The sequence below is a fragment of the Homo sapiens genome, chromosome 8, assembly GCF_000001405.40.
Source record: "Homo sapiens chromosome 8, GRCh38.p14 Primary Assembly".
Lineage (NCBI taxonomy): Eukaryota > Metazoa > Chordata > Mammalia > Primates > Hominidae > Homo > Homo sapiens.
In genome coordinates this window covers 125,097,594-125,112,943 of record NC_000008.11, presented here as the reverse complement: position 1 = coordinate 125,112,943, position 15,350 = coordinate 125,097,594, and the positions used below count along the sequence as shown (strand labels likewise).

The window sequence follows — 15,350 nt, the reverse complement described above, 5'->3', positions numbered from 1 at the left end:
AAGCTAGTTAACAATACCTCACATACTTAAATCAGTTATTGGTAGTGAAAACACTTAAAATCTACTCTCTTAGCAATTTTCAAGTATATAATAGTTATTAACTATAGTCACCATATTATACAATAGATCTCTTGAACTCTTTCCTCCTAATGGTAATTTTGTATCCTTTGACCAACATTTCCCCAGTCCTCCCACCCTTCCCTTCCCCAATCCCTTGGTAACCATCATTCTACTCTCTGTTTCTATGAGTTCACCTTCTTTAGATTCCACATACGAGTGAGATCAAGCACTATTTATCTTTCTGTGACTGGCTTATTTTGCTTAGCAAAACATCTTCCAGATTCACCCATGTTGTTGCAAATGACAGTATTTCATTTTTTTTTTAAGACTGAATAATATTCCATTATGTATACACAGCACAGTTTTCTTTATGCATTCATCCATTGATAGACACTCAGGTTTGCTTCTGTATCTTGGCTATTGTGAATAATGTTGCAGTGAATATGAGAAGGCAGATATCTCTTTGACATACATCCTTTGGATACATACCCATTACTGGGATTGCTAGATCATATGGTAGTTCTATTTTTAATTTTTAAAGGAACCTCCATACTGTTTTCCATAATGACTGTACTGATTTACATTCGCACCAACAATACACAAGGGTTTCCCTTTTCTCTACATCCTGGTGTAGGCATTGCCTTTTACTTTTAGTACTATATACAGCATAATTAAGTATATATGTTTAATAATCTTCACTAATTTAAGTTATAATGCTATTTTGCTGGTATAGTTGGCTCCAGTTATAAAAGCTGTATAAGCATACAAACATTGGCTTCTTAGGGTTATTGTTATTTTTATTATCATTGTGGCCACCACTCACCACTAGAAACCACCTACTTCTAGTTACTCCTTCTATTCAATAATTATGAAATAAAAGACAGGAACAAGGTCAAAAAGAAATCTCCCCGACTCAACTAGACTCCTAATAACAAAAAGCAGTGCTCTAATGGAGAAATATATCACAACACAGTGAAAAATCCAGAATGTAAGTCTTTCTAAAAAATCAAGCCCTGAAAATATCAGGTCAGTTGTATTGACATATCCAATTATCAAGTAATTTTCAAACCATTTTTTTTTCTTTGAGACACGGTCTCACTCTACTGCCTAGGTTGCAGTGCAGTGGCGTGATCTCGGCTCGCTGCAACCTCTGCCTCCTGGGTTCAAGCAATTCTTGTGCCTTAGCCTCCCAAGTAGCTGGGATTATAGGCACACACCACCACACCCAGCTAATTTTTCTATTTTTGGTAGAGATGGGGTTTCACCATGTTGGCCAGGCTGATCTGGAACTCCTGACCTCAAGTGATCCGCCCGCCTCGGCCTCCCAAAGTGCTGGGATTATAGGCATGAGCCACCGCAACCAGCCTCAAAACATTTTGAACATGAAAGGTTTAAGCAAAATGCTTATCCCTTTTTCATAAAATAAGGTGATGGGTGATAGGGTTATGGATGATCACAATTTTCTGGGAGTTTTTTTTCACCCATACTTACCAAATTTCTAGATTTAAGAATGTCTTATTCAGGAACAAAACTAGAATCTTACCCCCAAAGCACCCGGATTTAAAACTATTCTCTCAAGGAAATGCTTAACATTTGCAAATGTAAAAGGTCAGTTATTCATGAGGGCAGTAAATGTCCCTGACCATGTAATTTTTCACTTTGCTGGTTGTTTTTTACTCATCATGAACTCTGAAGTAACTGCCACACAGTGAAAACTTTTTTGGCTGCGTGGGGATTAAGGTAAGACAAAAGGAACTAGATCTAAAAAGGTGATGATTCTTAGCCAGAACACAAGTTGTGGATGTATGAAAGAACAGACTATCATTCAATCAATTTGATGAATCACTTCCATGAGTCAGGACTGTAACCAGCTGCAAAGAAGAGCAAACATGAGAGCTGTTGCTTAGCCAAACAGGGGTTTCTTTTCCTGCCATTACAAGAACTGAAAGTAGACAGTCTAGGGTCAGTACAAAGGCCCTGAAAGGTCCCAGCTCCTTCCCCCCATGACCATACATGACCTCCATGAGAGGATGTTTCAGAAAAAGCATGCAACCTCATTTGGGTATTTAAAAAAAAAAATCAGATAACATTATCCTCAAAAAAAAAAAAAAAAAAAAAAAACAACAACAACCAAAATTATCTAAGCAAAACGTCGCTAAATGTCATTTGACTGCACAGGCCATGACGCTGGCACAATACATTTTTTATGAAGTGTAATGGTGAAGGGCAGAAACTATGAAGTCAGACTGCTTATAATCAAATCCCTACTCAAACATTTACTAACTTTGTGACCTTAAAAAATGCATGTAACTTCACTAAGCCTCAATTTTTCTCATGTGTAAAGTGGGGACAGCAACAGTCCCTACTGCACAGGATTACTGTTAGGATCAAATGAAATAGCACATGTAAAAAGAGCACCAGTTAAGTATGTAACAAATTCATCATCATCACCATACTTTAGCATAGCTCAACAAATACCCAATTAACTGCCTGACCATAGTAACTGTAATCTTTCTGCCCTATAGCTCCGAAATCACAGAAAGAAAAGCAATATATAGAGAAAACTTTAATCCTTTACTTCTAAATGTTGCTATCAAATATTTAGCAAGAATCTGGTAAAACTTTTAATCCTCATGCACATACATTTTTGTAGAATTGCAGAGCATTAACCAAACCTCTGAAGCCCATTCACAGACTTGCCCTGGCAGAGAGGCATGAGAAGAGATGACACATCTTTGAAAACTACAAAGATGTAGTTTACATCTTTGAGGTACATTAACATTTTAGAGAAGGGAGATTCCTCAAATTTACTTAACTAAACCTAAAGCGCTTACTAAAACTACTTAAAGATGATTTAAAAATAATTCCAGTTAATTAGGTCAGTATATTCTGTGTAAGATGGCAGAAAAGTACATAATAAACTCAAAAACCTGAAAAAAATAAGCTTCGGTAATCTCAAAAAAAATCTCCTAATGTAACAAATTTCATTTCCCAGTTAGGTCAAAGAAGAAGGTAATACTAGAATATCGACAAATTTAGAGAAAAATGAATAAACATGGTAGTGGTGAGTCTAATTGCCTAGACACCATATATTCTAACGTAACACAGGCAAAGGTGATCATTTCAAATAAGCTAGAAAGTTGAACAGGGACAAACACCTGGTATAGGAATTAGGAATCTGCAACCAATAAGAAACAAAATAAAACACATCACCACCCTAGTTCTTGGGAGCAAGAATCTCCTTTACCAATAACTTAATAATACAACAACAGGAAAATGTCAGGGCAAAGTGATAAAATGATACCTATGTGATCATTATCATTTGGTTTATCAAAGTTCACTCTGATTTGAGATGAAATCAGGCAACCCAAAAAGTCAACAATCTCATAAAACTAAGGAAAACAGTATTTCTGTTCTGGGATAATCCATGAAATTCCCCACTTGCTCTTCTGCACTTTAATCTCTCCCAATCCATTCTCTGTTGTCCAACACACCCACCGGTCAACTCAAACTCAAATGCACACCAAATTACTAGTAACAGCTAACAATTACTGAGCACTTACTACTATTCTAAGTAATTTGTAAAATATTATCTCGCTAATCCCCACAATAATGCCTTTTATAAATAGGAAACCTGAGGCAAATTGGAGGGTAGAGAATTTGCCCAAGGTCACAAAGATAAGAGAGGGCACTGGGATAAGAACCCAAGCAATCATCTATTACACTATTATGCCTGTATTACAATGAGGGTATAAGATACATAGCACACAAATCAAATCCTTTTTACCTTAGTTACAATACCTTAGTCAAAGTTATTTTCTTTTTCACTTGAGCTACTGACATAATCTCCTCTTTGGCCACCTGAAGTCTTTCCTTCCTCAGTACTGCTGTGGACAGTTATCTTTCTAAAACTGGATCTTACCATATTTTTTCCTCTACTTTAAACCTTCCAATGATAAGGTTCAAACTCCTTGGCAAAGCATCACATTATAGGCCATCAATGTTCACTTAATGATTGAATAACAAGTATATGTCTTATTTCCTACCTAGACTGTAAACAACTCAAAGGAAGAAACCTTTATTTATCTTTGTAGTTTTGGCAACATATCTGATGAATTAGTGACTTAGCTGGACTCAGTCTTACACAGACTTCCAAACTCATCCATCTTTCTTACCCTCTTCACATCACAGGCCCTTCTTCTAAGTTCTGACCCTCAAATTTTACTAATTGCTGGTTGTCATATATGATAGCTATTGAATTAACATTGTGGCTGAGAGCACTTAGCATATATTATCTCATTAGTCCCAACAATCTTATGAAGCAGGCATTTTAATCCTATTTCACAGATAAGAAATTAGAAGCTGAAAGAAGTTAGGTACCTTACTCAAAGTTACAGAACTTATGACAGAGTTAGGACTGGACCCAATAGCAAGCGTGCACTTAAGTGCTGATACTGGCTGCCTTAGTATCAGCCTTCTACAAGTCTTTCATCTACTGTTACAGGCTGATCTACCCTCCAATTTCCTTAAACAACCGGTGTTTTCCTACTCTCTGGGTCCTTGGACAGCACCTCAGTCTGGTATCACATTAACACTGCTCCCCTAACAAGTTCTTGCTGAATTACCCCAGTGGGAGTGATTGCCCTTGGCTTTCTCTCTGCAGAGGACTTCTCATGTCATCTACCTCCTATTCATAAGCAATCAAACTCAGTTTGTTCTCAGTGTGGTCTTCTGAGCCATTTCAGGGGGTCCGTGGGTCAAAACTATTTTCATCGTAATTTCTTCTGGGCCCTTTCAGGGGATCCATGGGTCGAAACTATTTTCATCATAATTTTTTTTATTTTTTTTTTGAGACAGGCTCTGGCCCTGTTGCCCAGGCTGGAGTACAGTCGTGTGATCTCAGCTCATTGCAACCTCTGCCACCTGAGCTTAAGCTGTCCTCCCATCTCAGCCTTCTGAGTAGCTGGGACTACAGGTGTGCACCACCATGCCTGGCTAATTTTTGTATGTTTTGTAGAGACAGGGTTTGCCATGTTGCTGCAGGCTAGTATCAAACTCCTGAGCTCAAGCAATCTGCCCAGGTTGGCCTCCCAAAGTGCTGGGATTATGGGTGTCAGCCACCAGGCCTAGCTTATTTACATCATAATTTTAAGATGCTATTTGTCTGGGTTTGTTTGTTTTTCTTTTTCTTTTTTAACATTTGCACCATTAGTACAAATGTTGAATGTTTGTACTAATGGTGCAAAAGCAATTGTGGAAAAAACTGCTGGTGCCTTAGCAAAAATCAGAGCAGTGGCACCAAACTGTTGCACTCTAATAGATCATTGTATTCCTCTCTACCAAGCACTCATAGTAAAACAAATGCTAGTTTCATTTAAGAATGTCCTTGATAGGCCAGGCCTGGTGGCTCATGCCTGTAATCCCAGCACTTTGGGAGGTCGAGGAGGGTGGATCACGAGGTCAGGAGTTCAAGACCACCCTGGACAACATGGTGAAACCCCGTCTCCACTAAAGATACAAAAATTAGCCGGGCATGGTGGTGTGCACCTGTAATCCGAGCTACTCAGGACTCAGGAGGCTGAGGCAGGAGAATAGCTTGAACCCAAGAGGCGGAGGTTGCAGTGAGCCAAGATCGTGCCACTGCACTATAGCCTGGGACAGAGCAAGACTCCATCTCAAAAAAAAAAAAAAAAAAGAATGTCCTTGATAAAACAGTACAATATAGAACAATTCACAGACAAACTATGGTTATTCAGGTTTGGGTATCTGAAAGACATTTTCTCAAAAATGAAGAAAGTGAGCCTGTGCAACTGTAATTTCAAAGACAACAACTAACAGCATTTGTTGCTAATGGTAAAATGAAAGTTTTTTTTTGTTGTTTTTTTTTTGAGACAGAATTTTGCCCTTTCACTTAGGCTGGAGTGCAGTGGCGTGATCTCGGCTCACTGCAACCTCCGCCCCCAGGGTTCAAGCGATTCTCCTGCCTCAGCCTCCCGAGTAGCCGGGATTATAGGCGCCCACCACCACGCTCAGGTAATTTTTGTATTTTTAGTAGAGACAGGTTTTCGTCATGTTAGCCAGGCTGGTCTCCAACTCCTGAACTCAGGTGATCCTCCAGCCTCGGCTTCCTAAAGTGCTAGGATTACAAGTGTGAGCCACAGCACCCGGCCAAAATGAAAGTTGTTTGTTTTTTTTTTTTGAGATGGAGTCTTGCTCTGTCGCCCAGGCTGGAGTGCAGTGGCCTGATCTCTGCTCACTGCAACCTCCGCCTCCCAGGTTCAAGCTATTCTCCTGCCTCAGCCTCCTGAGTCCTGAGTAGCTCGGATTACAGGTGCGCACCACCACGCCCGGCTAATTTTTGTATTTTTAGTAGAGATGGGGTTTCACCAAGTTGGTCAGGCTGGTCTCAAACTCCTGACCTCGTGATCCACCTGCCTCAGCCTCCCAAAGTGCTGGGATTACAGACATGAGCCACCACACTCAGCCCAAAGTGAAAGTTTTAAAGAAAAAATTAGAACTTTGAAAAATTTGTGTTCACCATTATAAATTTGAGAGCGTATGACTTTTCTGATAAGATCAGTGGTGATATTAGTTATTTGCAGCTTTATAACATCTTTTCTGTTTTCTCATTGTTTTAGTATTTTAATATGTGTTTGTCTTCCCACTAAGATGGTAAACTCTATGAAGGGAAGAACTACTTAATACTTGTTTATGTCCTCTTTAAAACCTAGAGCTGAATTATATGCAGAATAGTCACTTGGTTAGTTTATGTTGACTACTTTGTTATTTTGACTCCTGGTATTAGTTAAAATGTGTGTGTGTGTGTGTGTGTGTGTATGCACACACACACGCATGTATTCATATACATATTGAGTTCATAAGAAGTCCAGGCTCCTGGTGACTCTGTGTCTGTCTAAGTTGTTTAGTTCACTTTTTTTCCCATATAACTTGCTCAAAATTTTTCTTAAATTAACTTTTTTGGTAAATGCAAAATCAAGTATTTGCTGTAAAATTAATCCAAATATTAAAAAATAAATACATCTTTCTTTTAAAAATTACTTAATGACAATCTGCGGCACTAAAGCAGGGGTTGACAAACTAAGACCTGTGAGCCAAATCCGGCCCACTGCCCATTTTTGTAAATAAAGTTTTATAAGACCACAGCCATGCCCATTCATTTACGTACCATCTATGGTGGGTTTTGCACTACAACAGCGGGTTGTGACAGAAACCACATGGCCTACAGAGTTGAAAATATTTGTTATCTGGCCCTTTATAGAAAAACTTTGCCAACTTTGGCTTTAGAGCATGAACCTTTCAAAAAATGATGTTTATAATTCTTCTTAAATTGCACATGTTGTATTTTACAACAAAATATACCTCTTATTTAAAACAAAACAAAACCAAGAGAAAAAAAAAACTCTGTAGCTAAAACTCCCAGGAATCTTCAAAAAGAATCCTGAAAAAAACTGATACAATCTCCCAAGGGGTTATGTTCCAGTCTTCTCTCTTATGGTTTAAGATTTTATTATGACTTTTATCCAGGCCTATCTATCAAAGCTAAATTATGATCACCAAAAACATAATCAAAAACAGACTGGGTAGGGTTAAAACATTTGGAGGCCACCCACTAAAAAGATTATGAGTGACACCTGCTGTTAGCCGTAAATGAATAACTGTATGGAGCTGGTCCACCTGCCATGAATGACTGAAAAACTAAACAAAATATATGAAACAATAGCTGTGGGACAGTAGGACAAAGGCGGGACAGGACTGTAATTACTGCAATAAGGGAAAACTGGGAAAAGTCTTGCAATGGCCTCCTCCCTGCGCAAGGGAGGAGGAATCCAAGGGAGTTTTTGAGACAGAGTCTCACTCTCTTCCCCAGGCTGGAGTACAGTGGCACAATCTCGGCTCACTGCAACCCCCTTCTCCCATGTTCAGGCAATTCTCCTGCCTCAGCCTCCCCAGTAGCTGGGACTACTGGCATCCTCCACCATGCCTAATTTTTGTTTTTTAGTAGAGACAGGGTTTCGTCAGGTTGGCCTGGAACTCCTGACCTCAGGAGATCCTCCTGCTTCGGCCTCCCAAAGTGTTGGGATTACAGGTAGGAGCCACCATGCTCGGCCTAGCACAGCAGTCTTGAAGGATTGAGGAGACAGAGACTTCAGTTCAGGGAGGCTGAGGCAGCCAGCAGGGTTTGCAAGAGAGTGAGGGAGCTATGCAGATAAAGAGCTCTAGGAATCTGCACTGGGGTCCCCTTGAGTCTGATGCTGAGTCCTAAGATGCTGAGCAACAAATACTGACAGCTATAAAGTGAACAACTCCCAGGTTCAGTCACGTAGGACCTAGGACCGGGAGACACTCAAATTCCATCCAGCCAGAGTAGAGCTATCGCACTGAACCCTCGGGGCAATCAAGAGAGACTCCAGAAGGGCCATGCTTTGTAACAAGGCTAAATTAGCCCTAACATAAAGGCTATATTAGACTTGACCTAACAAAGCTTAACGATAAGCCTAGAAAGGATCAGCCTAATCCACAATCACTTAGCTGCACACCAAACAAACTCCAACACTATTTAAAAGAGGACAACAAGCTGGGCATGGAGGCTCATGCCTGTAATTCCAAGATTTTGGAAGGCCAAGGCAGGCGGATTACCTGAGGTTGGGAGTTTGAGACCAGCCTGACCAACATGAAGAAACTCCGTCTCTACTAAAATTACAAAATTAGCTGGGCGTGGTGGCGCATGCCTGTAACCCCAGCTACTCCGAAGGCTGAGGCAGGAGAATCGCTTGAACCCGGGAGGCGGAGGTTGCAGTGAGCCGAGATCGCACCATTGCACTCCAGCCTGGGCAACAAGAGCAAAATTCCGGCTGAAAAAAAAAAAAAAAAGACAACAAAATCCAAACACTCAACAACATAATACACATAGAGATGACAGAATTAACATACAAGGATATTAAAATAGCTATTATAAACATGCTCCATATACTCAAGAATGTAGAGGAAAATATGGACACAATGAAGAAAGAAATGGAAGACTAAAAAAAAAGATTCTACTTAATTCTTTGTTATGTCTTCAACAATTAAAAATACAGTAACTGAAATTTTTAAATTCACTAAATGGAATTATCAGATTAGACACTGCAGTAGACAAGATGAATGAACTTAGCAATAGAAATTATTCAAATTGAAGCTAAAGAGTAAAAAGACTGGAAAAAATCTATCAAGTTCCACTGATTTATGGGACAATATCAACCCATCTAACATACATGAAATGTGAGTCACACAGAAGGAGAGGAGAGCAGAGGAATTAAAAAAATATATTTGAAGAAATAGTAGCAGAAATTTTTCCAAATTTGATTCAAAAAACTATAAGCTGACAGATCCATAAATCTCAAACAATATCAGTCAGGACAAAAAAAATCACACCACGGCACATCACAAATTGCTCAAAACCTATGCCAATAAAAACAAAACAAAAGGATCATGCTGCTCCTCTGGCTCCATGTGTAAAATAAAATAAAAACGATTCTACTCCAAAGAAAGCAAATAACATCTTTTTTCTTTTTTTTTTTGAGACAGAGTCTTGCTCTGTTGTCCAGACTGGAGTGCAGTGGCTCGGTCTCGACTCACTGCAACCTCCACCTCCCGGGTTCAAGTGATTCTCCTGTCTCAGCCTCCCGAGTAGCTGGAATTACAGGCACCTGCCACCACACCCAGCTAATTTTTTGTATTTTTAGTAGAGACGGGGTTTCACCATGTTGGTTTTGTATTTTTAGTAGAGACGGGGTTTCACCATATTGGCCAGGCTGGTCTCAAACTCCTGACCTCGTGATCTGCCGGCCTCGGCCTCCCAAAGTGCTAGGATTACAGGGGTGAGCCACTGCACCCGGCCTGCAAATCACATCTTTCTAGATCTTCTTGATTGAACAAATGTAGGTAAAATTCATTAAAGTTGAACTTTTCTCATTTTTGTTGAGGCCTTCCTTTGCTGGTATCCCTAGCATAAGCTTAGTCTATCTACTGGTTAATCAAGTATGACCAAAGTATAAACTACTGAAAAATAACAATATCATAATAAATTTATATACCTTACAGTTCACAAATGTCAAATACTTTAGATTGTATGCTCCTTGGGGTCAGGATCTTCAAATCTTTGCCCATACATTTCTAGCGCAGTTTCTCATGGAACTTAACTGTCTGAACACACATGAATGAGTCAATCTTATTTCACCCTCAGTACCCTGCTGCGGTGTGTAGAATAAAATGAGACAACAGATGCCTAGAGGGGTTAAATCATTCCCCCAAGGATACTCAAAAGGCACCCCCAGATAAATACCACCACACAGTGTTACCTCAAAGTAGACACAAAAGAGGTTTTAATTTTACTTACTCTGACTTTCCACAAGATCCAAAGCAACACTAGAAGCTGTGTCCATACCAGAGTTGATACAGGCTTGGAAGTTTTTCAAGGAGGAGAGAGCAGACTCTACACCACTGAAGGAGATGAAACCAGTTGAACCTGAATTTGAACTGGAACGTCCTGGCATCTTGAAATTAGTACCTAAGTTTTCAAACACAATGAAACAAGATTCGTAAGTCAGAATAATAACTGCACAGGAAAATATTAATAAAACTGCTGTAAACATTCATACAAATGTATCCAATATCTCATAAATGCCACACTATTCTGTATATCCTATAGAGAAGACACCAAATCACTGTGCCACTCACCTGGGCCACCAAACACAGCTGGACTCAATATATGGGGAAGGTAAGTGTCCTCAGTTTTTGGAGAGAGATTACCCTCTTCCAAAAGAGTGCTTGATTCTGTGAAGAAGTCAACAATAGCACAGTTCTTAAAAGCCTACAAGATAAATGGGTTAGAAAAAGTAGACCACTCATATGATGCAATTTTCCAAAGAGAAAAAAATACTAATAAAATAGTTTATTAGTAAACTATTTTGAAAACCTGTAATCGTTAAACTATCCAACATATATGCATACTGAATTCTGGAAACTGTAAAAAAAAGAGAAAATCTATATTCCTGCCAGTTCCTCTGGCTTCTAACAGATTAATAGACTTGGTGAGATCCCAGAGTCAGTGAAAGCAGAATTTCTGTATAAACTTGTCTTCTGGCAGCACATCCACTATAACAGTTTCAGTTATTACCTTCATATTTAACACTTCCTAATCTATATCTTCAACCACAATTTGTTTCAGCTTAGTAAAGCAATGTAAAGCTGCCTACAAAAGGACATCTCTGCTTAATTCAGAAGCCATTTGAAACTCAATCCACTGAAACCAACTAGAAAAGTGGGGAGAATTCACAGTTTTAAAGGGATGGGAGGGCTATTAACAAGGCTCTATGGCAGCAGAAAAAGGGGTATTTTCATGGAATCAGATAGACATAACATGAAGACTGCTAAACATCTCTGAATCTCAGCTTTACCATCTTTAAAATGGAAAGGAATAACCATGGTATGGTATAGCATACAGTACACAATTAATTAGCATTAGAGCCTTCCCTTCTGCCCTTCCTAAGTGGGGAACTGTGTAGTATCTCTGGCATTTCCATCCTCATCATTGCTACCACCTTCATCTCACAGCTGAACTACTATTGTAGTTTCTCCATTATTAGTCCTTTTTAATTAGGTTCATTCATTCATTTCACTCATAAGTATTGAGTACCTACCATGTCAATCATGAGACCCATTCAAAAATCCACAGGATATAAAAAGAGAAGGGCATAGAGACATGCAAGATGCACAGAGATGCATAAGATTTCTAATTTGAAGTGTTTGTTTACCTCAAACATCCACAGTACAACTCATTGTCAGTTCAAATATTTAGTATCTCTTTAAGTGCCAGGCACTTCCTTTAGCATGAGAATACCACAGTTTTCAAGATGAGCACTCTTAAGACACTCTCCTTTTAAAGAATTATTTTGTTATTCTAATTTGATGAAAACCTATCATGAGCCAGGCACTATCCCAGGCACTAGAAATATTCAGCCTTTGGCCAGGCGCAATGGCTCACACCTGTAATCCCAGCACTTTGGGAGGCTGAAGCAGGAGGGTCACCTGAGGTCAGGAGTTCAAGACCAGCATGGCCAACATGGCAAAACCCTGTCTCTACTAAAAATACAAAAATCAGCAGGGCATGGTAGTGGGCACCTGTAATCCCAGCTACTCGGGAAGCTGGGCAGGAGAATTGTTTGAACCTGGGAGGCGGAGGTTGCAGTGAGCCAAGATCATGCCACTGCACTCCAGCCTGGGCAACAGAGCAAGACGCGGTCTCAAAAAAATAAAAATAAAAAAAATTCAGCCTCTACTCCCAGGGGCTCACCACTGAGTAGGAGAGACAGAGATAAAACATAAACCTGATAATTAAAGCAACATGGGAGTTACTGCAAAGCTGAGGCACAGATAAGAAAATGCTCAACTTTGCCTGACTGGATCAAAGAAGGGAACATAGAACTGAGTTTAAAGGATAAAAGACGAAGTTTAACAGATGGAAGGGTAATGGAGAAGGGCATTCAGGCAAAGGAAAAGGCAGGTAGGAATGAAGTGCACAAATCATTGCAGAGTACATAAGACAATACTTGACTTTTCCTGATTCTATTATGCTCTTTTACGACTCCTCTCACTAGAAACTTCCAACACTTCCTCCTCTATCCTCACTCTCACTGAAAGATCTAGTTTCCTAATTTCCTGAGGAAACAGAAGCAGTCAGAATAGAAATTTTGCAAGCTCCCACCGCTTACCTCTCCACCTATCAGCATCAGTTCTCATACACTCTGCTTTCCCTCCTGTTAAAATGAATAAACTGTTGCTCCTAGATAAGGCCACCTCCACTCCAATTATCCACTAGATCCTATCCCTCCCTCCCTACTCTAAGACATTCTCCCAGCAATTCTCCCTGCTTTCCTGCATCATTAAATTTTCCCTCTCTACTGAATCATTCCCTTCAGCAAACAAATACACCATTACTTCTCCCATCTCAAAAACATCCTCCGACTTTCCTCCCACTTACCCCTCTGGTTACCAGCCCCATTTCTCTACTCAGCCTTAGAGCAAAACTCGTCTGTAGATTTGTATACATTTGTCTCCAAATCCTCTCCTTCCATTCCCTTTGGAACCCACCCCCACTAGGGTTCCATCTCTATCACTCCACTGCAACTGCTCTTGTCAAGGTCACCTGAAAAGACTTAATGTTAAATTTGTTATCAATGCTCAGCCCTATCTCCTTTGACCTATCAGCCAGCAGTATGCAACACAGTTAATCACTCCCTTCCTGATGCACTTTCTGCACCTGCCTACCTTGTTCTTGTTCTCATTCTCCTTTCTGTTTCCTCTCCATCTCCTTGAGCTCCATATGTTGTAGGGTCCCAGGTTCAGAATCCAAGCTTCTTTTTCTTCTCCTTCTATACCCAAATCAAATACAGCCCTGCCTCAGGGCTATGCCTTCTTGGTTCCCTCTGCCATGATACTGGTCCCCTAGATATCTACTAGGTCAATTCCCTTACTTCTCTAAGGTCTCCCTTTGAGTATCACCTCATCAGTAAGGCCTTCCCTGGCCATCTGATATACAACGGCAAGCCCTCCCAATCTCCACCCCCAGGCATTCCCACCCTTCTGCTTCTGCTTTATCTTTCCTCAAGGCAGGTATTGCCAAACGACATTCTTGTATTTATTAGGTTTATAGTGTCTAGTCCCCAATTACACTGTAAGTTCCTTAAACTTACAGACTTTTTGACTTTTTCTGTTTTGTTCACTGCTGTATTCCAAGCACCTAAAACAACGCATGGCACATTAGTGGCCATTCAACAAAGGCTTGCTGAAAGAAGGAATGAATGTAATACTATGTATCTCCAGCACCTAAAACAGCACATGTCTCCAAAACTGTAGTATAGGTGGTATGCCCAGGGCTCAGTGCTCTGATCTCTCTTTTCCATCCTCTCCCATCCACCTAGTGTTCCCAACTAGACCCATTCCATCTAAATACCATTGGCAAGATCACTCCAGAACTTAAAACGTCCAACATGGAAGGCCCACATTCCTTCTCTCCCACCCTACCCCTCCCCCAAACCTACTCCTTTTACAACCTGCCCCATCTTACTAAATAGCAACTCCATCCTTCCATTTGTTGAACCAAAACTCTTGGTTCATACTTGATCCTTCTCCTCCTCCCCTCATATCCTATACCAAACTCAACATCAATTTTGCCAGCTCTGTAGTCAAACTATCTCCAGAATCCAACCACTCTCACCAATTCTGCTGATAACACCGTGATTCAAACCATCATCTCTTGCCTGAATTACTCCAACAGTCTCCTACCTGGTCTCCCTGCTCTCAGTCTTGCCTCTTCCACCCTATTCTCAACACAGCAGCCAGAGTAAACCTTTGAAAATGTACGTAAGATCATGTGACTCCTCTGCTCAAAAACTCCTAAGGACTTCCTGACTCACCGGGAGTAATGGCCAAAGAGCTTCGTAATAACTGACAATAGTGGTTCTCCAAATGGTTCCTGACCAAGTGTCACCAGCATCACCTATGAACTTGTTAGAAATGCAAATTCTCAGGCCCCAACAATCTACGTTTTAACAAGTCCTCTATGTAATTCTAACTCTGATATATCTAGGAGACATGTAGTGTCAGTGTATTGAATCATCTGATGGGCCCATTAAAACACTGATTGCTGGACCTCACCCTCAGAATTTCTAATTCAGTATGTCTGGGAAGGGACCTAAGAATCTGCATTTCTAACAAATTTCCAGGTAATGTAGATTTTGCTGATCCAAGAATTACACTTTGAAGACCACTGTTCTACATTATCTGGCCATTGCTAGTCCTTTAATAACCCAGGCATGCTTCACCTTAAGGTCTTTGAGCTTGCTAATAAGACAGAGATGCCAGTAATAAAGACAGAAAAAAGCAGGAAGGGTTGGTCCTAACTCCCTCCTGCCTATATAATAAAATTCAACATAATTAGCACAGTATCCAAAGCTTTCTACAATATAATGCAAACACGCTTTTCAAATCAGAGATTCTACTTTTCACCAAGACTTAAATCATACATTTCATATAACCTTAACTATTTGATATTCCAGAATAAACATAACTCCTTTCTGCCACAACCCCTCAAAACAGGCTTGGCAGAGAACAAGTTCCATATTAAAAGAATGAACCAAGTACTATGAAGTTGAAAAAAGAAACCGATTACACAAACCCACTATGCTACAATGTTCAAGAAAGGAAAGGATTATAGGCACAACAGGGGAGAC

At 40.1% G+C, this 15,350-nt stretch overlaps 1 protein-coding gene across 14 annotated transcripts in view; it reads right to left on the bottom strand.

The window, feature by feature from the left end:
• The window catches only part of NSMCE2 (NSE2 SUMO ligase component of SMC5/6 complex), a 275,261-nt gene that overhangs the window by 254,177 nt on the left and 5,734 nt on the right, over positions 1 to 15,350 (bottom strand). For 5 of the 14 annotated variants that reach the window (XM_017013331.2, NM_173685.4, XM_011516975.3 and 2 more), the window contains 2 exons: positions 10,798 to 10,893; positions 10,457 to 10,627 (listed from right to left, as the gene is read on the bottom strand). In XM_017013331.2, the coding sequence (XP_016868820.1) occupies positions 10,457 to 10,613 (157 nt within the window). In that variant the 5' untranslated portion in view covers positions 10,614 to 10,627; positions 10,798 to 10,893. Of the gene's footprint in view, positions 1 to 10,456; positions 10,628 to 10,797; positions 10,931 to 13,386; positions 13,491 to 15,350 lie in introns of all 14 variants that reach the window. The other 9 variants (NR_146191.2, NR_146192.2, NM_001349486.2 and 6 more) reach the window with 4 other exon arrangements.